This window comes from Homo sapiens, chromosome 1, assembly GCF_000001405.40.
Source record: "Homo sapiens chromosome 1, GRCh38.p14 Primary Assembly".
Classification (NCBI taxonomy): Eukaryota; Metazoa; Chordata; class Mammalia; order Primates; family Hominidae; genus Homo; species Homo sapiens.
In genome coordinates, this window is record NC_000001.11 from 21251744 (window position 1) to 21273068 (window position 21325).

A 21325-nucleotide genomic window follows, 5' to 3' on the forward strand; every position below is an offset into this window, starting at 1 on the left:
ACCAGCTCTGGGACCTCCAGCCTTTTTCCGTTCTTTCTCTAAAAAGGGGAAAACAGCCTCCCCTCCCAGAGCTGATAGATCTGTGCCTCTTATACCTGCTTGCCCAATAACCCTGAGTTTCTTTTCTCTTTACCTTGTCCTCTCTGCCCTCCTCCTGGTAGGAGGCCCTCAGGCAGGTAACCTCTGAGGCTAATCTTTAACATTTCTGTGACTACAAAAACTGGAGCTGTGCTTGTGAGATCCTCAAATAGGGTTCCACCATTAGAGCCACCTGACTGCATGACCTGTTGGCAAAGGCCTTGGGAAAATCGACAAGTTTACAAACTGTCAGTGTTTACACAGTGGACGAGAGCTCCATAAACTGCAGACAACTGGAACTCTCTGATCAAGGTACAGATATAAGACGGTGAGAAATCCCTGTGTACTCTTCAACACAACCCTGGCCCTTTAGGGAAAGCAGGTGTTCTGTGCAGGGAAGTTCCCATGACTGTCAGATAAGATGTGTTGAATACCAGGATTTTCACATTTTCCATCCTGGCTGCTTTAGTGAACTCCTATCTTAAACACATGTGCCTAGCTCCATCTCCATGGAGACGGCTGTTTTAACTGACTAGGACATTCCACTTGTGACTCACACCCTCTGGGGCACACCAGTGAGCTCCATTTTCCACACCTGCAGCCAAGGAGTACTGTGGGTCACAAACCAACCAATTCAAATAGGTTTGAAACTGGGAGAGAAGAGAAGAATGCTTCTGAGCTTCATCTCAGCTGGAGAAATGGGGTAGAAAATGGGGCTCAGGCCCAAACAGCCTTTGGCGTGAGGGTCCTAGAAAGGAAGGGGAAGGTCCTCAGGCCCCCAGAAGTAATGGAAGAGTGTCTGATTCACAGCTCTGAGTTCAGACTCTGCTGGGGACTAGCCTGGAAGCATTCTGTACCCCAGCAGGGCTAGCCTAGAACCACACTGTGAAACCTGGCGTGCTTTTCCCTAAGTTACCTGGAGTATGGGAAGAAAACCCCATTTCCAGACACCAGGGAACAAGACATTCTCTGTCCCAGAGTAGAATGAATCAAATTGATTTAGTGCTGGGTTCCTGGGTGACATCGCTAATAACAAAGGAATAGTAACAATAATGATGAATATAATATGTTATGCTTGTACTGGGTTGTGCAAATGAGTTTACTGAATGAACTCTCATCCTTTACCTCAACTTATTCTCCAACAACCCTGTGTGGCAGGCCAGGAAGAGATTCTTACTTAGAACACAGGCTTCAGGGGGCCAGGACTTCTTTATTATTTTATTTTATTTTATTTTATTTTATTTTATTTTTTTGAGACGGAGTCTCGCTCTGTCACCCAAGCTGGAGTGCAGTGGTGTGATCTTGGCTCAATGCAACCTCCGCCTCCTGGGTTCAAGTGATTCTCCTGCCTCAGCCTACCGAGTAGCTGGGACAACCGGCGCACACCACCACACCCGGCTAATTTTTGTATTTTTAGTAGAGACGGGGTTTTACCATATTGGTCAGGCTGGTCTTGAACTCCTGACCTCAGGTGATCCACCTGCCTCGGCCTCCCAAAGTGCTGGAATTACAGGCCTGAGCCACCATGCCCGGCCAGGACGTCTTTAAATGTCAGACATAATTTTAAAAATATGCATATATACCCATTTATTCTGGGAGATAGTCCATGGTTTTTGATCTGTTCTCAAAGGACTCTGTGACTTAAAGTTAAGAACCACAGGCCGGGCGCGGTGGCTCACGCCTGTAATCCCAACACTCTGGGAGGCCGAGGCGGGCAACTCACGAAGACAGGAGATCGAGACCATCCTGGCTAACACGGTGAAACCCGGTCTCTACTAAAAATACAAAAAAATTAGCCGGGCGTGGTGGCGGGTGCCTGTAGTCCCAGCTACTCGGGAGGCTGAGGTGGGAGAATGGCGTGAACCCAGGAGGTGGAGCTTGCAGAGAGCCGAGATGGCGCCACTGCACTCCAGCCTGGGCGAGAGCGCGAGACTCTGTCTCAAATTAAAAAAAAAAAAAGAACCACAGGCCAGGTGCGGTGGCTCATGCCTGTAATCCCAGCACTTTGGGACGCCGAGGCGGGTGGATTATGAGGTCAGGAGTTCGAGACCAGCCTGACCAACATGGTGAAACCCCGACTCTACTAAAAATACAAAAATTAGCCGGGCGTGGTGGTGCCTGCCTGTAATTCCAGCTACTCAGGAGGCTGAGGCAGGAGAATCGCTTGAACCTGGGAGGCAGAGGTTGCAGTAAGCTGAGATCATGCCACTGCACTCCATCCTGGGCGACAGAGCAAGACTTTGTCTCAAAAAAAAAAAAAAAAAAAAAAAAGAGGAACCACAGTCCCTTGTGAGGGCAAGGGCTATGTCTCATTTGTGTTCTGGCACACAGCTGGGGTGAGTGAACGAGCCAAGCCCATTTTACAAGGAAGGCAGCCAAATTCACATTAGAATTTAATCAGAAATATCTGTAAAAACTCGAGAGAATCCATATATTTCCTAAAGATCTTAATTGAACTTTGGGTACTTAGAACACAGAGGCTGTTTGGCCAGGCGTGGTGGCTCATGCTTATAATCCCAGCACTTAGAGCTCCAAGGGGCTTACAGTCCTCTGAATCTAAGCCCAGGGCTTGTGTACTACAAGCTGCTGAGTCTGCTAAACTCCCCCCACCTTGGCAGCTGTGCAGCTGGGAGGCAGGAAAAGCCTTTCTTCCTCTGCTTGGAAGAAGAGAGCAGAAGCAGTGGTGATAGGATGCCTGGGGGGAACCTGGTGGCCATGCTGGGCTGATGTGCTCAGGGCTCCTGTGCCTTCTCCGCTATTCCTGGCACAGACAGTTGGCATCATGGCCACGGTAGGGGGCTGAGGCACTGCGGGGGCCCCTCAGGCTGAGAAATCGGCTGGAACAAACCAAATTATAATGCACAAACAACATCACCCTCAGCCTCCTGGCCTCAGAGCAGGAAAAGAGTGCCAGATGGTATCTAACAGCAGCTGTTGATCTCCATCCTGGTCTGAGCAGCACCACTGAGCCTCAGGCCAGTTTCTCTGGGAGCTGAAGGGCAGCCAGCACCAGCAGGAGGCCAGGCTCCCCTGACCCTGATCGTGGGCCCTAGCACGGCCTGCATCTCCGCCTGGGACACCCAGTTGGCCTGGAAATGCTCATCTATCGTTAGACTCACCTTCCCTGACTTCTCCCCACCCCTGGCTCCCAGGGCCCGCTGCTTTTGCCCAAAGCACTCAGCAATGAGACAGGGTTGTTTCTAGCTGGTGTCCCCCACTAGCCAGGAAGCACATGAAGCGCAAGGTCCCAAGACGGACCCATATACACCTGTCAGCTGGAGGAGGGTAAAGGGCAGGGACCTAGTGTTCTTCCTGAAAGTAGAAGGAACGGACAACAGGTCAAATTCGGCTGGTCACAAGGTAAGGAAGGAGGGAGATGACACTCTGCGGGAGCCCCTCCTCAGCAGAGAAGCAAGGCCTGGCCACGCATTCCTGGGTGATGTCAAGAAACGGCAAGATCGGTGGTGGCCATTCTGCTGATCCCTCTGCAATGCCAGCTGATGCTCTGGAAAGAAGGAACCAGCAAGCTATTCTCTCTGGACCCTCAAGAACCAAGCAGCCACCAGAGGGCAGCCTTTGGCAGAGGCTGAGCCCTTGGACGTTGGGCTTCTCCAATGGGTGACAGAGAGCATCACAGATCTAACGCCCTGTTGTACAGTGAGCCCATCTGCGGCTGGCTCCTCTGCCACTTAGGAGCCTCCGGACCTTGATCTGGCTCAGAAAAGGGAAAAGTAATGACAGAATCCACACCATGCATTTATTAAGTGCTCACTGTAACCAAGTTCGATGTGCTTGGTGCTGGAGAGACTGGAAAGGCGCTGTCAATGTAAGCTGGTGTGGTCATGACCCCGAGCCTCCAAGTAAACACTATTAATTACAGAGAAGCAGCCTGGTGTCGGCCAGGCGCCTATTTTGGAGTCACTTACTAGCTGTGTGCCCTTCAGCAGGTAACTTGACCTTTCTGAGCATCAGTTTTTCCATCTGTGGACTGGGCATAACAACCATCCTTCCTTTGTCACATAGTTTCAAGGACTAGATGAAATGAGTATAAAAGCCCCCAGTCCAGGGCCCTGTCTGAAACCTGGAGGCCATCCCAGCCTCCCTAGCAGCCGGCGCTCAAGTTACCTGCAGCTCGGCTGCCGTCACTTTGTGGTAGATGAGCTCCTCATCACGGCGCTTCTCCTGTGGGATGGTGATGTTGGCCAGTGCCGTCTCAAAGTCCAAGATCTGCTGCATCTGGGGCCGGATGGCCTCCTCGTCCCCGCCGCCCAGCAGCTTCCCCAGCTGGACCATGTAGTTCAGATATCCGGTCAGCACCTGCAGGGCCCATACCCCAAACTGTCAGTGGCTGCCCCCCCACTATCCACTGGACGAGAGTTGGTGGGGGGCTTGGCCAGCCAAGTCCGGCACAGGGAGCCAGGGGGCTGCACAGTGCCCCCAAGACACCCGTGGGGCCAGGTGTGGTGGCTCACGCCTGTAATCCTGGCACTTTGGGAGGCTGAGGTGGGTGGATCACCTAAGGTCAGGAGTTTGAGACCAACCTGGCCAACATGGCGAAACCCCGTCTCTACTAAAAATACAAAAATTAGCTGAGCATAGTGGGAGGTGCCTATAATCCCAGCTACTCAGGAGGCTGAGGCAGGAGAATCACTTGAACCCAGGAGGAGGAGGTTGCAGTGAGCCCAGATTGTGCGCCATGGCACTCTAGCCTGGGCGGCAGAGAGAGACTTTGTCTCAAAAAAAAAAGAAGAAGACACCCGTGGGAGACACAGCATTGAGAATGATCTCGGGGCCGTGTCTCTCTGCTGCTTCCCTACAGCCTCCAGGAGAAAGCCCAAAGTCTTGGCTCGTCTCACAGGTCCCCACCTGGGCTGGTCCCTGTCTTCCAGGGCTTGTCCTGGGGCTGTCTTTCCATTCTTAGAATGCATCTTTTCTGACCACCCCCCACCCGTGTTCCAAGATCTGAATTAGGTCTCCACGGTAGACTTTCTCAGCTTCACTTTCTCTTAGTTAAATAATATCCGCCTCGCCGACCAAACCACAGGCCCTGTGGGACGAAGGCTATGGTGGTCTTGTCTGCTACCATCTCCCCAGCATCAGGCACTCTGTGGGCGCTTGGTCAAGTACATGCCGGCGGAAGGATGAAAGGACAGATGAATGAGTTCCAGGTGAGGTCGCCCCAAGAGGCATCACAAGAGGCAGGCCAGGGGGAGGGAGAGCCATGGGCTTCGGAGCACGTGGATCCGGATGTGAATCTCAGGCTCGTCATTTACTGGCTATGTGACCTTGAGCAGATCACTTAGCATCTCTGAGCCTGATACCCTCTTCTGTAAAAGGCAAGACAAAACTAATTCCTGTTTGACAGATGAGGCAAATGAAGTTCAGTATCTGCAGGGTTAATGGGAGGGTCACAGGTGATGTATAAAGGGCCAGGCGAATTGTGGTAGCTGTTATTGCTGCCTCTGCCTCTCTCTAGAACCAGGACAAATGATACCTGTCTCTTGCCCCTTGTGTCCATGATGCCTGAGTGACACAGCCAGCCTAGGGGTGTCCCTCCCCTGCCAGGGTCTGCCTGTTTCACCCATCAGGTCACTGACACCCCTGGGCTCCCCTAGCTTCAAAGACCTGCACAGGTGTGGGTGTGGACACGGAGCAGGAAGGACCGTGCTGGGAGGCAGGCTGGGAGGGGAGAGGCACGCTTACCTTCTCGTTTTCAGTTTTGTTCAGGTAATAGTCTCTCGAGGGCAAGCCCAGGCCAGACTGGTCCACCTGGCAAGAGAAGCAGGCATGAGAGGGAATTCGTGTTGCAATGCGTGTATCCACTGCACGGCCTCCTGCCCTGGGAATGGCTGGCACATGGCAGCAGAGGCCCAGCTCAGGCCCTTGGAGAAGCAGGACTGCTGGCTACAGTCACTGAGAAGCCCACTCAGGGACGGGATGACACATTCCTGCCTGTCCACGTGGCCCCCCCCCGCAGGGCTCCTGGGCTCCTCAGAAGGGCTGGACAGAGCCACCCTCCTTTTTAAACAGCTACTTGCCTCGGCAAAGTGCCTCTATCTCCCCAACGCTTTCCAGGTGGTTAAGAGTCACTCAAAAGCTGTGTGATCTTGGCCAAGTTACTGAACCTTTCTGATTCTCAGGTTTCTTCTCAGGTAAATAGGGAAAATAAAACCTAACCTTCAGAGCTAGAATGGGGATTCAAGAAGACAGTGCTGGTCAAGTGCCTGCCAAGCAGGAGGGGAGGGTCAAATTCTGCTTGCTACTATTGGCACCCATGGCCACATCTTGGCATACCTAGGACAGGTGTTATTGCAATCCATTTGATTTATAAGGTAACTGTAGCTCTGAGAGGTTGAGGCACTTGCCCAAGGTCACACAGTGACTGAATGGTAGAGATGGGCTGGGAACTCAGCTTTTAGGACCCCCAGCCTGGGTTTCTCACTTCTGCATTGGAGGTTGGGGCAGACCAGTGCTGGAGCTCCCCTGGGCAGGCTGAGCCTCTGTCTGGGGCATGCTCTGACAGGGAGAGATGGATTCAAACCCATTCCAAGAAGAGTTACAAAGAGCAGACGCTAAGGAGGGGGAAACCAGGATGTGGGTTCAGCTGTGCCCAGGAGTTGACATCATTCTTGGGGCCCACGGAAACCCATCAGCACCCAAAGTTTCACCTGTATGCAGTGCCCATCTACGCAAGGCCAGCAGCCTGCAAAGATCTCACCAGTGGGGCCTCTGGAAATAACCCAGGCTCAGAAACTAGAAGACCGCCGTCCCACCCAGGGCAAGCCCCTCTCCCACCCCAGGTCCTGCTAAACTCAAAACAGGAAGAGGTCGTGCCCGCCCCCTCGACCGCTGCAGGTTCAAGCTAGCTCACCTGGATCACGTTGCTGTTGGAGTTCTTGGAATCGGCACTGACATAGACAGAGAAGAAGGGTGAGGTGCGGTAGTGGGCGGTGACCACCTGCAGGGTGTCCTGGAAGTTGTCCTTGGCCCAGGGACCTGTGATGTTCCAGCCCCCGAGCTGTGGGGAGGGAGAGCAGGCAGGGAGGTGATGAGGTGGCGGGGAGACCCAGATGTGAATTCTGGTTCTGCCGCTGACTTGCTCTGTGACCCTGGAGCAGTCGCCTGACCTCTCTGAGCCTCAAGAGCAAAGGAAAGGATTGGTCTTCATCGGGGGTTTCCGACCCATGAGCTGGAGACCCATGGATGGAGCAAAGGCTTATCCTAGACAAGCCAAGCAGCCAGGCATGAATCCAGCCGCTCCCTGGGTGGCTGGGATGAGAATGGGAAAGAGACTTTTCCCGGTTCACGGTTTATATTTTGGATAATGAATTGTGTGAATGTGATTATATCAAAACATAAATTCAATTGTGCCTCTGGGATAAAAAAGGCTCCACATGTTTAAGAAGGTTGGTAAATTACGGTCTACTTTAGTCTCAAAGTTGGGATTTTAAAAAAATTTTTTTTGAGATGGAGTCTTGCTCTGATTCCCAGGCTGAAGTGCAGTGGGGCCATCACAACTCACTGCAGCCTCCACCTCCTGGGCTCAGGTGATTGTCTCACCTCATCCTCCTAAGTAGCTATGACTACAGGTGTGTATCACCACACCTGGCTAATTTTTAAATTTTTTGGAGATGGGGTCTTGCTATGCTGCCCAGGCTGGTCTTAAACTCCTGGCTTCAAGTGATCCTCCTGCCTCAGCCTCCCGAGAAAGTTGGGATTTTAAAAAATCTCCCTGGTCTTCCCTGGTTTGGCACATGGGACCTGTCCAGAGAGGAGGGGACTAGCATAGTCCCCAGCGCATGCAGCCACCAACCCTGCTGCAATGCTTTCCTGGAGCCAAGCTAAGAGGCAGGGCTGTCCAGGGAACACGAGGCAGGCAGAAAACATCCACAGACACCTACTGTCTGCACCAGGAAGCCTCAGAGTCTGGGAAGTGCCCAAGAAAGCAAGAAAGATGTCTTCCCCTGCTCAGGAGTAAGCAGGTATAGGAGAGTGGCCTGGGTCCCTGCTCACGGGGAGGGCTCTGGTTCTGGGCCAAGACTCTCTGTGGGTCTTTCTGGAACAGGCACACACCCCTCCACACACACAAACATAACCCCTGAGGAAAAAACAGCAGCAACGTGGAGGAATATTTTCCCTCTAAACATGGCCCCCATCCCACACACAGATGCACAGAGAGACACACAGACAGATGACAGACATCTACAACAGATGCTGACACACACTCTCACACAAACACATGCACAGACAACCCACCCACGCAGCTACGCAATGTGCTCACACTCACATGTGCTCTCGCACACTCGCTCTCTCTCTTTCTGTCTTTCTCTTGGTGCTACCGGCTGGACGTATGAGGTGGGCCAGTGGTACCAGAAGGCTGGAGTGGAAGCCAGGGGGCGGGCAGGTGGCATGGGCCGGGGCTTGGGGAGGGAGAGCCCGAGGCACTCACCCTCTCAATCAACTCCATTAGAGGTTTGGCCCTGAGCTCCTCGATCCTGGTCTCGTTCATGCACGCACGGTAGTATACTTGCGCCTTTCTCTCTGCCTCGCTCACGCTGGCCGTGGAGTTTTCTGGAACAACAGACAGTGGAGTTTGCAATGCGGCCCCACTTGCCCACTGGGTGGCTTTGGGGCAGTCCCTCTTTTCGGAGCCTTGGTGTTCTCAGCTGCAAAGGAGCTCTGACATCTGCCTGTCGGAGTGGCAGTGAGGAATGCCGTCACCGTGAGTATGTGAGGGCCCCTGGACAGAGCCTGGCAAGCTGAAGGCGCTCCCGAAATTTTGCTGACTGCAAAGAAAAAGAATCGACCACGTTTCTCTCCCTCTGCCAGTTGGGTTCACAGACGTGTCCCCGGGTTGACCGCACGTGCCCACCAGCAGGACAGTGTTCTTCCCCTGTGGATAACGTGTGGTACGAACACCCCTGCCTGGTGCATGGGACAGAGGCCGGTCTTGGTTTTCAGATACCAGATGATCTTTCTTGTGATAAAGACTGAAGTTGGATGGAAACTCAAAAGGCTCATTCATTATGAATTTACTTTTTGCTTCCTCCTTGGAGGGGCTAGGCACGTTCACCAGGCTTACAGCCAACTCCTGGGGCCGTTTTCCACCGCCCTTGCCAACTCCAGCAAGCAGCATCTCCCTCCTGCAGTGGCTTCTCAGACCTTACCCCAGACACCCGGAGATTCTGTTCCCTTCTCCCTCACCTCAGTGCCCTGGTCCAGATGCCACCTGCTAAAGGCAATGCTCCGGTGGGTGCACCTGGTGAAGATGACCGCTTCCTGCCACTCAGGTCCACAAGGGACCCACTATATACTGGGGCTCTGTGCATGAGCCTTCTTCTCAGAGCCCTGCTCCAGGCCATGCCAGATACTCTAAACCCCTCAATTCCATCTGTCCCTCTTGCCTCCTCTGGGAAACTCACTGCTCCAGACACATTCCCTCATTTCATGTTCATTTCTCTCTGGCCCTGAAGCCCCTTCCTTTGCCTCCTTCAAAGATCCCTCAAACCCCAGCTCCTTCACAAAGACTTTCCTGGCAGAACTGTATCCATCCACCCTCTGACCAGATACTAGATGCTTACTCTATGCTAGGCCCTGTGTAAGCTGTGGGACACAAGAGAAAACATCCCTGTCCCCAAGGAGCTTCTGCATGGGACCCTGTTAAAATCCTACTCAACCTCAAGGCCTCTACGGGGACATCTTTTTGATGAAGGCTCTCCTAAGATGTTCATTCCCAAAGGCCCTCACCGCTCTGCATACCTGTGTCCACCATTAGACCGTGAGCTCCTTGGGACAGAAAGCGGGTCTTATTTATGCCTATAAAATTCAGAGCCCAGCCCTGTGCCTGGCACCCAGCAGAAACTCAAAGAAATGACCACAAGACACGACAGTGCTATGAACAACGCACGTGGCTATGGAACACAGAGAAAAGTCACTCCCTTCGGAGGGGTGGGGAGAAGAGGGGTCTCCAGAGGGCGTTCCATTTGAGCTGGTTCTGAAAGCTGAAGTTGTTCACCAGGTGGAAGGGAGGGGAGAGGCCACTGGGTTGCGCGGAGCAGGACAGGACAGTGTGGGGACAAGCGGGGATGCCTGAAAGGGCAGGCGGACTGCTTGGAGAAAAGAAAGCTGTCTGGCGTAGTCACTTGGAGCAAAGGACATGAGTCACTTCCTGGCCAGTCTTTCATCAGCTTTCCCAGCCTCACCCCGAGAGCTCCCTGCCCCCCGATCCTCACCATAAATAGCACCATGGCTTTCACTGATCAGAGCATCGAGCCCCGGTCTTGCTGACCTCAGGGTGATGGCCCTGAAAGGGGGACGGGACCAGCTTGGGGCTAGTCTGAAGGAAGACACAGAGACAAGAGAGCCCCTTGAGAGACAGGGTCAGGGGCCTGAACGAGGGGCTATGGAGGGTTCGTACAGCCCTGGAGACCATGGGCTACTGGGTTGCTAAGTGCTGGAAACACCTGCATGTCCCCCAGGCACCACGGCAGCTCTGAGAAGAGGACTCTGTGAGGGGAGGGCGGAAATGGGGAAGCTGGGATACAGAAGATCAGGGAGAGCAAAAGGGGAGTGCCTCGCCCCTCCCAGGGGCCTCGTTCCTATGGCAACACTCCCAATGAAGCTCTTGGAAGAAAAAGCAGGAGAATCGTCATTGCTCCCCAGGCCTCAGATGCAGCGTCTCACCCTCCACATCTGGCTCCGGCCAAAGCCCTGAAATGCCAGGGCCAGCGCTGGGGAAGGCACTCTGTGTGCTCTGGCCCATGAGTGAGCCTGGCATCTCCCTCCCCCAAGGCCACAAAGATAAGAGGCCTAAAGAACAGCTCCCAGGAGCAGCCTGGCTGTGCTAATCACAGCGAGTTCCGAGGCCCTCTTCCCTAACACCTGTCTGCAAGCCCCAAATTATCACCGGGAGGGAGAAGGAATGCCTCCTTCAGACACAGCCTCCCTTGCTCCTTCGCTGAGAGGCTGCCACAGGCCAGGTTCAAACTCCATTCCTTTGGCCCCCACCACCTGGGTGCCACGCTCACTTGCTTTCCCACATTGTTTACAAAGTTCCTTTTGCCTGGCAACCGCCAGGCCGGGTGTGGGGGACAGTGGGCAACATAACTGGAGGCCTGTCCACGTGAGGCATGCAGCGTGGTGAGTGAGGCAAACGGCAGCCAAGGACTCGCGGGAGCATCTGATTACGCACGGGGTGAACGCTGTGAGAACATCCCAGAGGCCTTGAAGGGGAGGGCGGGAGGAGACCAGGGAAGCCAAGCAAGGCCCCGGGGAAGCTTCGTTTGAGCTTCGGGCTGAAGGATGAACTCAATGTGGAGTAGAAGCAGGGGCTGTGCCTGGGCTGCCCCTCCGCCATTCCATGTCTTAGTGGTCCCTGCAGCCCCAGAACCAGCCCTGGATAGGGACCTAGTAGGCCCCTAGCAACAGGTGGTGGCTGCAAGAACAGAGCCCAGTGTCCCTTTCTGGAGAGGAAGGACATCTGGAAGATGAGAGGGTGATGAGGCCGGATGCCCACCTAAGGTTTCCTTTTTTTATATTTATTTTTTTTTTTTTTGAGACAGAGTCTCGCTCTGTCACTAGGCTGGAGCGCAGGGGCGCAATCTCGGCTCACTGCAACCTCCACCTCCTGGGTTCAAGTGATTCTCCTGCCTCAGCCTCCCGAGTAGCTGGGACTACAGGCGTGTACCACCACGCCTGGCTAATTTTTGTATTTTTAGTAGAGACTGGGTTTCACCATGTTGGCCAGGATGGTCTCAATCTCTTGACGTGTGATCTGCCCACTTCAGCCTCCCCAAATGCTGGGATTACAGGCGTGAGCCACCATGCTTGGCCAAGATTCCCTTTTTTTTTTTAAAGGAAATCGGGCAGGTGGGGCAGGAGTGGACAGGATGAGGGGGCCCCGCCAGGAGTTGGTGTTCATGCCCCCTCTGTGTGTGTCATCAGTATCCCCACTGCCAATGCTGGCTGGGGCAGGAGCCCTGGTAGAAGGTACGGTTCCTCTTCCTCCCCCTGGTTCCAGGAGCCCACGGGGACAACCCACGGCACACTCTCCCACCTCTTCTTTTTCCTCCTCACTCAGGGAGCACCTACTATCCTGCAGGCTCCAGGGGACAAGAGCCCAAGTGAGGCTGCCAGGCGGGAGGCTGCTGCAGGGGACCAGGTGAGCAAAGGTGGGCGCTTGGCCAGGATGGCGGCAGAGAAGGGGGCGAGAAGTATTTGGAACATGAGAGAAAGGAGAGTCAAGAATGGAGTCAAGTTTCTTTGGCCTGAGTGAGAAGCTGCTGACACTGGGGAACCGCAGCCTGAGGATGAGGGGCAGGCTTAGGAAGGAGCTTCAGTGCACACAGCTACTGCCTAAAGCTCAGCTCCAGACACTCGAAGTTTGAGGCCTCTATGAGACACCCAAGGGGAGCCCTGGTCTGGGGAGTCTGTAGAGTGCATTGTCTTGAACTCCTTTTAGTCCAAATAGGCACTGGAATATACCAATTCCCCCCCCCCCTTTTTTTTTTTTGACACTGAGTCTCGCTCTGTCGCCCAGGCTGGAGTGCAGTGGCACGAACTTGGCTCACTGCAACCTCCGTCTCCTGGGTTCAAGTGATTCTCCTGCCTCAGCCTCCCGAGTAGCTGGGATTACAGGCATCCTCCATCACGCCCGGCTAATTTTTGTATTTTTAGTAGAGACAGGGTTTCACTGTGTTGGCCAGGCTGTTCTCAAACTCCTGACCTCAGGTGGTCTGCCTGTCTCGGCCTCCCAAAGTGCTGGGATTACAGGCGTCAGCCACCGCACCCAGCCCCAATTCCTGAAATTGGCCAGAAGGCTCTATATCACGCATCCCCAACAGGGGCAATACTGCCCCCAGGAATTTATTCTTGCAGGACAAAGCATCTCACGCTTTTTACTCTGTGTATACAGACTAAGAATAGCAACAGACATCCAGAGTACCTGTGGCATTAACATTTCATGGAGGCGTAATGATAACTGCAGGCTGAGAAATGCCACCCTGGGTGACGGGGTCTGCGCTCCCACCTGTCTCCAGCTCCTGCCCCACACTCTTCCCCATGGCTGGCTGGTCTCTTCTCTCCTTAACTCAAGCATCTGCTCAGACATCCCTTCTGAGAAAGCCCATCCCTTCCTGATCGCTGCAGCTACAATCGCCTCTTCCCTCTCTGGCCCCATGCCCTACTTGATGTTTTTGAGCCCTTCTCTTTACAATCCTATCATGTATTTAGTCATTTATTTGTTTACTGTCTGTCTTCCCTGCTGGAATGTAACTTCCACAAGAAAAGACTGTCTTATTCCTACATAATCCCCAGCCCCAAGCAATGCCTGGCACACAGAAAGTGTCTGATGCATAATTGGTGAGTGAATAAAGGAATGAATGACAGAGAAACGTAGCACTCTAGCCTGCGGGAGGTGACTGGGCTTCAAAGTGAAATGAGTGGCTCATGTCTGTAATCCCAGCACTTTGGGAGGCCAAGGTGGGTGGATCACTTGAGGTCAGGAGTTTGAGACCAGCCTGGCCAACCTGGTGAAACCCTGTCTCTACTAAAAATACAAAAGTTATCCGGGTGTGGTGGCGGGTGCTTGTAGTCCCAGCTACTCGGCAGGCTGAGGCACAAGAATCGCTTGAACCCAGATGGCGGAGGTTGCAGTGAGCCGAGATAGCGCCACTGTACTCCAGCCTGGGCGACAGATCGAGACTTGGTTTCAAACAAAACAAAACAAAGTGAAATCAGGCACAGACCTTTTTCTGAATAAGAAAAAGGTCTCTAGGACTGTGCCAACCCTCCATAGCCCCTCGTTCAGGCCCCCAACCTTGCCTCTCAAGGGGTGCTCGTCTCGGTATCTTTTTTCAGACTAGCCCCAGGCTGGCACTGTCCCCTTTCGGGGCTGTCACTCTGAGTTCAGCAAGACCAGGGCTTGATGCTGTGGTCTCCTTTAAGACACCCCTGGCTCATGTTTACTTCCCAGAAGATTTCATGGAGGCAAAGAAGAAGCCAACACCCAACAGTGTGGCTCCTGGCACTATGCTGGGGACACATTTTGGAGACAGCAGCACTTCTGCGGCCTCCTTGTACTATGAAGATCTTTTGGCAGCCTAGGGCCACACAACAGAGCTCCACACTGCCTGGGTACTTCCTTCTAGGGGCCCCGAGTTCCAGAAGCTTCCTCAGTCCCTACCCCAAAGTCCCAGAGAGGAAGACAGAGCACCATTTCATCGGCCGCTTCTTCCTCTGGGAGTTTTCATTGGAATGCCCTCTCCACATCACTCCTCAGGGAGGAAATGAACGCCCAGGCAGGCAGAGCTGTGGGGTATGATAGGGGTGTCTGGGAATCCCCCGTATGCTGCTGGGATAGGGGTGTCTGGGAATCCCCCACGCGCTGCTGGGATAGGGGTGTCTGGGAATCCCCCACATGCTGCTGGGATAGGGGTGTCTGGGAATCGTGCGGCCTCCCTTGATGCAGTGGGACCATCTGGCCAGGAGCCTGTGGGGCCCTGACTCCACACCAGGGCAGGACCAGTGTTTGTTTTAGATAAAACTAGACTCCGTTCAGACAGTCACAGGCCTCAGGAGCCCCATCCTGTGCTGGGGGGAAGGGGTGCTGATAAAGGAGACGCCTTGCTCTGCAGAACAAAAATAATTCCACCACTGCCACCGCTCACAGCATCTACAGCAGGCCCTGTGCTGCTGTCACAACCTCACCCTGGTCCCCTGAGGCGGATATCACCATCCCATTTCAGAGACAAGGAAAATGAGGCCCAGGTGCGTGAAGAAACTGGCCTATCAAGGCAGAGCTAGCGGGTAGCATGCTGGACTTCTAAGCCTTCCTGAGAAAGTGAACTGCTTCCTCTGAGATGGGCATAGGCATGGCTGTGTGTGCATCTTGTCCTGACCATTCCACAGTGGCTGTTATCACACTCCATTTACAAGTAAGAGGTTGGGTAACTCGTCCTAGGTCGCAAAAGTGGCTGTGGCCAGGACTGGAGCCTAAGCCTTTTCTGCTTCCCTGTCCTTTCCTGCAGGTTGGCTCAGAAAACCGGAGGTGAAGCTGAAGCAGCCCAGCTGGCCCTAAGAAGCCCTGGACGCTCCCTCCCATCCTCACATCGTTGAGTCAATGCTATTATTTGAATGTCTGTGTCCCCTCCAAAATTCATGTTGGAACTTAATCCTTAAGGAGCAGTTTTAAGAGATGGGGCCTTTAGGTCATGAGGGCTCTGCTCTATGAATGGATTAGTGTCTTATAAAAGGGCTTGAGGGGGCCAGTTCCCCCCTCTTCAGTCCCATATGCCATGTGAAGACACAGTTCATGGTGCCATCTTGGAAGCAGAGAGCAACCCTTAACAGACACTGAACAAGCCCGTGCCTTGATCTTGGACTTCACAGCGTCCAGAACAGTGAGAAATAAATTTCTGTTGTTTACAAATTATCCAGTGTATTAGTCTGTTTTCCCACTGTTGATACAGACATACCCAAGACTGGGCAATTTACAAAAGAAAGAGGTTTAATGGACTTCCAGTTCCACGTGGCTGGGGAGGCCTCACCATCGTGGTGGAAGGCAAGGAGGAGCAAGTCACGTCTTACATGGGTGGCAACAGGCAAAGAGAGAGAGAGGCTGTGCAGGAGAACTCCCATTTTTAAAACCATAAGATCTTGTGAGACTTATTCACTATCACAAGAACAGCACGGGAAAGAGCCGCCCCCGTGATTCAATGACCTCCCACTGGGTCCTTGCCACAAAATGTGGGAATTGAGGGAGCTACAATTCAGGATGAGATTTGGGTGGGGACACAGCCAAACCATATCATCCAGTCTGTGGTATTTTGTTACAATAGCACAAACAGACTAAGAATCAATCAATCCACGTAACCATTCCCCAAACAGGAAGGCAGCACCCACTCCTGTAGACACCATACTGGATAGAAAGCATTCATGATGCAGATGCTGTCCATAGATGGCTTCCTTCCAATATGCGCAGGAAGATGAAACTCAATTAGACAGCAGGTATTAGGAAAATATGTCAAAATAAAAATACGAGCGATGTCACAGGGTGACATGATTAATTGCCACATCACCGACATGGACACGTTTAACGCTATTGGAATATTGTATGTCTATCTCCCAGGGAGACTGGAAGGCAGACTGCTAGTTTTTTCTTTATGGAATCTGTGTTGCTTGAATTGTCACAATGAGCACGCATTGATTTTTTTGTATGCGTTCATCTTACAGTATAAAATACAGTAAAGCAAACAGGACAGGTGCACACAGTGTACTTGTAGCTCAAGCCTAGAGAGGCCCTTTGGTAGCCACAGAAGACAATGGAGGCAGCAGGTTTGAGAAAAGTCTCGGAGGCTTTGGAGGGGGTGGTGTAGGCTCTCTAGCTGGTAGAATAATCTGAGCTACAAGCACAGTTGGAAAGTCCAAGGCAGGGCCAAGTCTAAGGGCTGAAGGGCCTGGCTGCTTCCTTCCTCTGATGAAGTGAGGCCACCCACTCTCATCTCCCCAAAACCTACAAGGACAGCCCATGCTGGCCACTTGGGGGAGTGGCAGAGTGAGGTGCGAGGCATCTGTGTGTCCTGCAGCTGAGGTCAGCATCCCCAGCTGGCAGACTGCCAGGTCATGCCACAGTGGCACCTGGCCTAGTTCGGCCCACCTGCTACAGAACTGCCTGGATTGCCTCTGAGGAGCCTAGCATGAATTCACCTGGCAGAGAAATGCATGGCTTGCCCAAGGTCACACAAGCAGATGGTAATAACTATCTTGCCGGATCGGCTGACACAATCCACACTGGCACTCTAAATGTCCCTTCTCCCCTCTCCGCCTAGAGGGAAGCCCTCGCCTCAGCAGGTCAGAGTGGCCTGGGCACCTCCGGCTTGTTCCCGTGCCCATCAGCTCTGGCTCCCTTCCGACGCCTGTTGGCTGACCCCTTTGTCTTGGAGACGCTGAACCCAGCCTGGCCTTAAGCCCAAGAATGCACTGGCCCACACTCCTGCATTTTTTTGTCACCCACTCACCTGCCATCTGCCTCTTCAGGAGTTTCCATGTATCAAAGTCCCAGGTATCAAGCCCACAGGTGAGGGGCCATTTCCAGACTAGTTCCGAGGACTGAGCCTTGAGGGAGAGGACCCCAGGATATGTCTTCCGGGGAAGCCCCTAGTCAGTATGACATGGGGGTGACCCCAGCTCCTGTGTTCACTGGACCTGGGCTGGGGCTTGGCTGGCCTGGGCTGAGAACTCTGTGGAGCAGCCGCTGGGGAAAGGAGGCAGGCGAACCACACTTCTCGGCTGCTCTCCCTGCCAGCAGTGCCGACCCAGGGCCTCTCCCTGCTGAATCTGACAGTAGAGTGAGTAGAGAAAGAATACAGGCTTTGAGGTCCCACAGCTCTGGGTCTAATCCCAGCCTCACCATTTCCTAGGAAATACATTTCCTTCATATTCATGAGTCTCATCTGTAAAATGTGCAAATGCAGCCTACTCCATGAGTTTACTATGAGAATTCAATGAAATAATACAAGTGAGATGCTCAGTGTGTCATAGCTGTATTCTGCACCTCCTTCCTGACAACTGGGTCCACATACCAGCGCTTCTCTAATAAATAAGAAATAATGACTTTGTTCTTTGCCCACCCAATTAACCCTTAGAGCATCCCTACTAATGAGCTGAGTTTCAGTTAGTTCCCACTTTATAGGTGATGAGCCGAGGACCTAAAAATCTGGGTGACCTCTCTGCAGTCATACAGCTTGTTTGTAAGAAGTCTGGGTTGGAACTCACCTACCACCACCAAGGAGGGCAGCTGTGCTTTGACGAGCACCTACTAGGTGCCAGGCTAGTATTCCGATGTATTCCAGTGCTCAGCACTTTGAACCATCCCAGGCAAGTCAATACTCACAGTAACTGTATGTGTTAGGAGGCATCATTATCCCTACTGTACAGATAATGAAACTAAGTGGGAGAGAAGCCAGGTCACTTGTCCAAGGCCACACGAGTGATAAGCAGCTAGCACACCAGGACTGCTTGACTTCAGAACTCTGCGGTCTGGCCTCCTGGTATCACCAGACCTTGGCCTCGGGGTCAGGGTTGAATGCATGATTTTGGGTTGTTCCATGGCCCATTGGATGCAGCTCCCCACCCACGGCTTGATTGTCAGGAACAGTGGGGATGGACTCAATCTTGGCTCAGACCTAAGGTTCTCCCAGTGAGAACCAGCCCCAGAACCAGTCAGACCAGAACCCACACAATGCACAAGAGCCCATTCTGGGCCTCACTGGGAAGCTAGAGGGCCTGTCCACTGTCCTGCCCCATCCCCTCTAAATGCTAACTGCTCCCCAGAGAGTGAGCCCCTCACCATTTTGGACTGGTGGTATATCCTTGACAAAGTCACTTAACCTCTGGGAGCCTCAGTTGCTGCATCTATAAAATGGGAACAACAATTCCGAAGTCTGGGGTTGTGAGGATTAAGGAAGCAGTGGCTCTAAAGAGCATGGTACAGTGCACAGCGCACGGCGGACATCCGTGTCTCTCCTTCCTTCAGGCCCTCAGGCTCTGCGCCCCCTGCAGGTTCTTGCAGGCACTGCGGAAAGGGAGCTAATGTCTGTCCCTTGTACCTGAAGGAGGTGGTGTGGGACAGAGGAAAGGGCACAAGACCAGGCATCAAGCAAGTCTCAGCTCTGCCACTCACTAGCCTATCATGAGGACCTCTCCGGATCTCGCTTTCCTCATCTACCAACAGAGTGAGCAACACCTTCCCAGCTTCCACCCTGCAGGATCAAGTGGGATGGTGTCTACAAAACAGCTCTGTAACCTGTCAAATGCTGTGCAAAGGTCAAGGGTGAATAACAGTAGCATCAATACAAACAGCAGCCACCACAACATGCCAAGCCTAGGCATGGTTTAAATACATTTAAATGTATTTCCCATTTAATTTTCAAAATTCAGAGGAGGCATGGTTCCCACTGTACTCATGAGAAAACAAGCCAGGGAGGTGATGTAATTGACCCAAGACCTCATAGTAAGTGGCAGAGTCCAGATTCGAACCCAGGTCCTGGTGAGTCTGAAGCAGAGGAACCGACCCACCTTGTTATACTACCTGGACTATGGGCCCTGCCAAGCCCCCAGCTGTGATGTTAGGCACTGGAGAAGGGTCGTCCTTGAGTTCCAGTCTTGCAATGATAGACATATTTGCCTTTTAAGTGTCTGGTTCTAAAATGAAAAGCTGCATGCCCTTTCAAAGGCACTTTGGTGGCATAAGGCAGGCAGGGGGACATCTCAGACTGGGGCTTTGCTGCTTCGGACATACTGAGCTTCAACCCTACCTCCATACACACCACCCTGCTCATCCTCAGGAAGTTAGGCTGAAGGCAGCTGCTGCTGCTGCTTCAGGAGCTGTCGGAGGCCAGGAGAAAGGGTGGGTGTGTTTTACCTAGCGGCGGCTCTGCTCTGTGGGGCTGGGGCAGGAAAGAAAGGAAAGGTCTCCTTCACCTGGTTTGCCTACTTTCCCTGTAATCTAAAAGACCCAGTTGCCTTAAATTGTTAATTGTCCATTTAGAATCATTTCCTGTCTCTTAAGATTCGTGTCCCTTTAAGAAGATCTGTCCCCTTTTGGGTATCTTCTATTGTACCTGCCTTTGAATATCTTAAAGTTTTTTAAAACAATCAGTATTTGTCGGATCTAGGTTCTGTTGTTGATGGATAAATTGACTGACTTTTCAGAATGCAGCCTCTCCCAGCATTTAGGGTCCCAGGATGGAGCAGGGGACAGCAGCAGAGGGAGACAGCCATGGTCCCAGCTGTGGGAGGGTTAAGGTGGGCAGCTTTATGGTACAGCACAGGTGTCATGATTTCACACTGGGGGAGGAGCCCAGTGGGCAGACGGGAATCCAACAAACATTAACTAAGGATACAGCTGCAAACAAGACAACGTGGAGCTCTAATCTGAGGAAAAACCATCAACACAGGGGTGAACTAGAGGTGCCCAAGGCCTAGTGAAGTGCAAAGAGAACTCTGACCAGAGGGCTTATCGTGCAAGCCCGATCACCGTGAGGCTAAGGATGATTCCCGCCTACACTGAATAACTAATCCTCTGATAAGCTGTTGTTAGAACTTTCATTGGATCACAACCTTAGAATCTGATCTAGTGTGTTCAGTCTCGATCCCTTTTGCTCATAACTTTCAAAACTCACAGTCAATACTAGTCAAAAGCTACGCCAAGCTTGAAGCCACAAAAGTAACGACCACAGCCACCAGTTCTTGTGTACACCCTACATGCCACACACACCATGCTAATGCTTTACACATGTGCTCTCTAGTTCTCAAAACTCTGTACCTTGGGTCTTATTAGTCTCATTTTACAGATGAAGAAACTGAGGTTCAGAGATATGTGACTTACTCAGGATCATACAATGAGTGAGGGCAGACATTCTAACCCAGCTTCACCTACTCCCAAGTCTATGGTCTTCCATTCTGCCAGGCTCCTCTTTTCTTGTTTTTTAGACAAGAGTCTCACTCTGTTGCCCAGGCTGGAGTGCAGTGGCGCGATCTCGGCTCACTGCAACCTCTGCCTCCCAGTTTCAAGCGATTCTCCTGCCTCAGCCTCCCGAGTAGTTGGGACTACAGGCGCACGCCACCATGCCTAGCTAATTTTTGTATTTTTAGTAGAGACAGGGTTTTGCCATGTTGGCCAGGCTGGTCTTGAACTCCTGGCCTCAAGTGATCCACCCACCTTGACCTCTCAAAGTGCTGGGATTACAGGTGTGAGCCACCGTGCCCGGCCCATTCTGCCAAGCTCCTCCTTTAAGCAGGCGCAGCTGGGAAGCTGGCTGGGCCAGCTGACAGCTCCCCGCTGTGGCCCATTTATTGGTCTCCATGCTGGATGCTTACCGAGGAGGTGCTTGATGATTGCTTGGTTGTGTTCCCAGAGGTTGCTGAAGGTCCCCCAGCGTGAGTGGCCATCAGGGACTGGGTTGGCCTTGATCCAGCCCCCACAGGCGTAGCTGAAGAAGTCATGGCAGGGGTCCACTGTGGGGTCCATGGAGCTCAAGATGGAGCTGGTCACTGAGACACAAGCTTCGCTCAGGCACACAGAGGGGGATCCTGGAAGGGTTAAGGACAAGAGGCCAGTGAAGGGCAGGCAGGGAAGAAGCAGGGAGGGCAGAGAAGGGGGCTTGGGGCCCAGGGGCCACATGTCCCACCCTGGCCCTGACCACACAGATTTGGAACTGGACGGTCACTAGACCCCTACAGAGAAATG

At 52.8% G+C, this 21325-nt stretch overlaps 1 protein-coding gene and 1 long non-coding RNA gene across 9 annotated transcripts in view, besides 4 other annotated features; one reads left to right on the top strand and one right to left on the bottom strand.

Moving 5' to 3' along the window:
• The window catches only part of ECE1 (endothelin converting enzyme 1), a 128255-nt gene that overhangs the window by 34494 nt on the left and 72436 nt on the right, over positions 1 to 21325 (bottom strand). For all 8 annotated transcript variants that reach the window (NM_001113348.2, XM_011540873.3, XM_011540872.3 and 5 more), the window contains 5 exons: positions 20956 to 21168; positions 8528 to 8649; positions 6950 to 7096; positions 5782 to 5847; positions 4204 to 4395 (listed from right to left, as the gene is read on the bottom strand). In NM_001113348.2, coding sequence (NP_001106819.1) covers positions 4204 to 4395; positions 5782 to 5847; positions 6950 to 7096; positions 8528 to 8649; positions 20956 to 21168 — 740 coding nt within the window. The remainder of the gene's footprint in view (positions 1 to 4203; positions 4396 to 5781; positions 5848 to 6949; positions 7097 to 8527; positions 8650 to 20955; positions 21169 to 21325) is intronic.
• Positions 9697 to 10896: an enhancer, noted in NCBI's record as "MED14-independent group 3 enhancer chr1:21587933-21589132 (GRCh37/hg19 assembly coordinates)". NCBI's record gives its function as "activates an origin of replication core promoter dependent on BRD2, BRD4, P300/CBP and CDK7 cofactors, and independent of MED14, by STARR-seq in HCT116 cells {active_cell/tissue: HCT116}" and the evidence as "EXISTENCE:reporter gene assay evidence [ECO:0000049][PMID:35650434]".
• Positions 10340 to 15508, top strand: LOC124903872 (uncharacterized). Its single transcript, XR_007065530.1, has 3 exons — positions 10340 to 11281; positions 12158 to 12238; positions 15105 to 15508. It is a non-coding gene; the product is annotated as an uncharacterized LOC124903872 (long non-coding RNA).
• Positions 10433 to 10727: a silencer, noted in NCBI's record as "tiled region #8999; K562 Repressive non-DNase unmatched - State 5:Enh". NCBI's record gives its function as "represses a minimal TATA promoter and a strong SV40 promoter by Sharpr-MPRA in K562 cells {active_cell/tissue: K562}" and the evidence as "EXISTENCE:reporter gene assay evidence [ECO:0000049][PMID:27701403]".
• Positions 13390 to 14216: an enhancer, noted in NCBI's record as "NANOG-H3K27ac-H3K4me1 hESC enhancer chr1:21591626-21592452 (GRCh37/hg19 assembly coordinates)". NCBI's record gives its function as "activates a minimal SCP1, AML or CMV promoter by ChIP-STARR-seq in naive H9 embryonic stem cells {active_cell/tissue: H9 hESC(naive)}" and the evidence as "EXISTENCE:reporter gene assay evidence [ECO:0000049][PMID:30033119]".
• Positions 18493 to 18787: an enhancer, noted in NCBI's record as "tiled region #15718; K562 Activating DNase unmatched - State 25:Art, and HepG2 Activating DNase unmatched - State 5:Enh". NCBI's record gives its function as "activates a minimal TATA promoter and a strong SV40 promoter by Sharpr-MPRA in K562 cells, with weaker activity in HepG2 cells {active_cell/tissue: K562 | HepG2}" and the evidence as "EXISTENCE:reporter gene assay evidence [ECO:0000049][PMID:27701403]".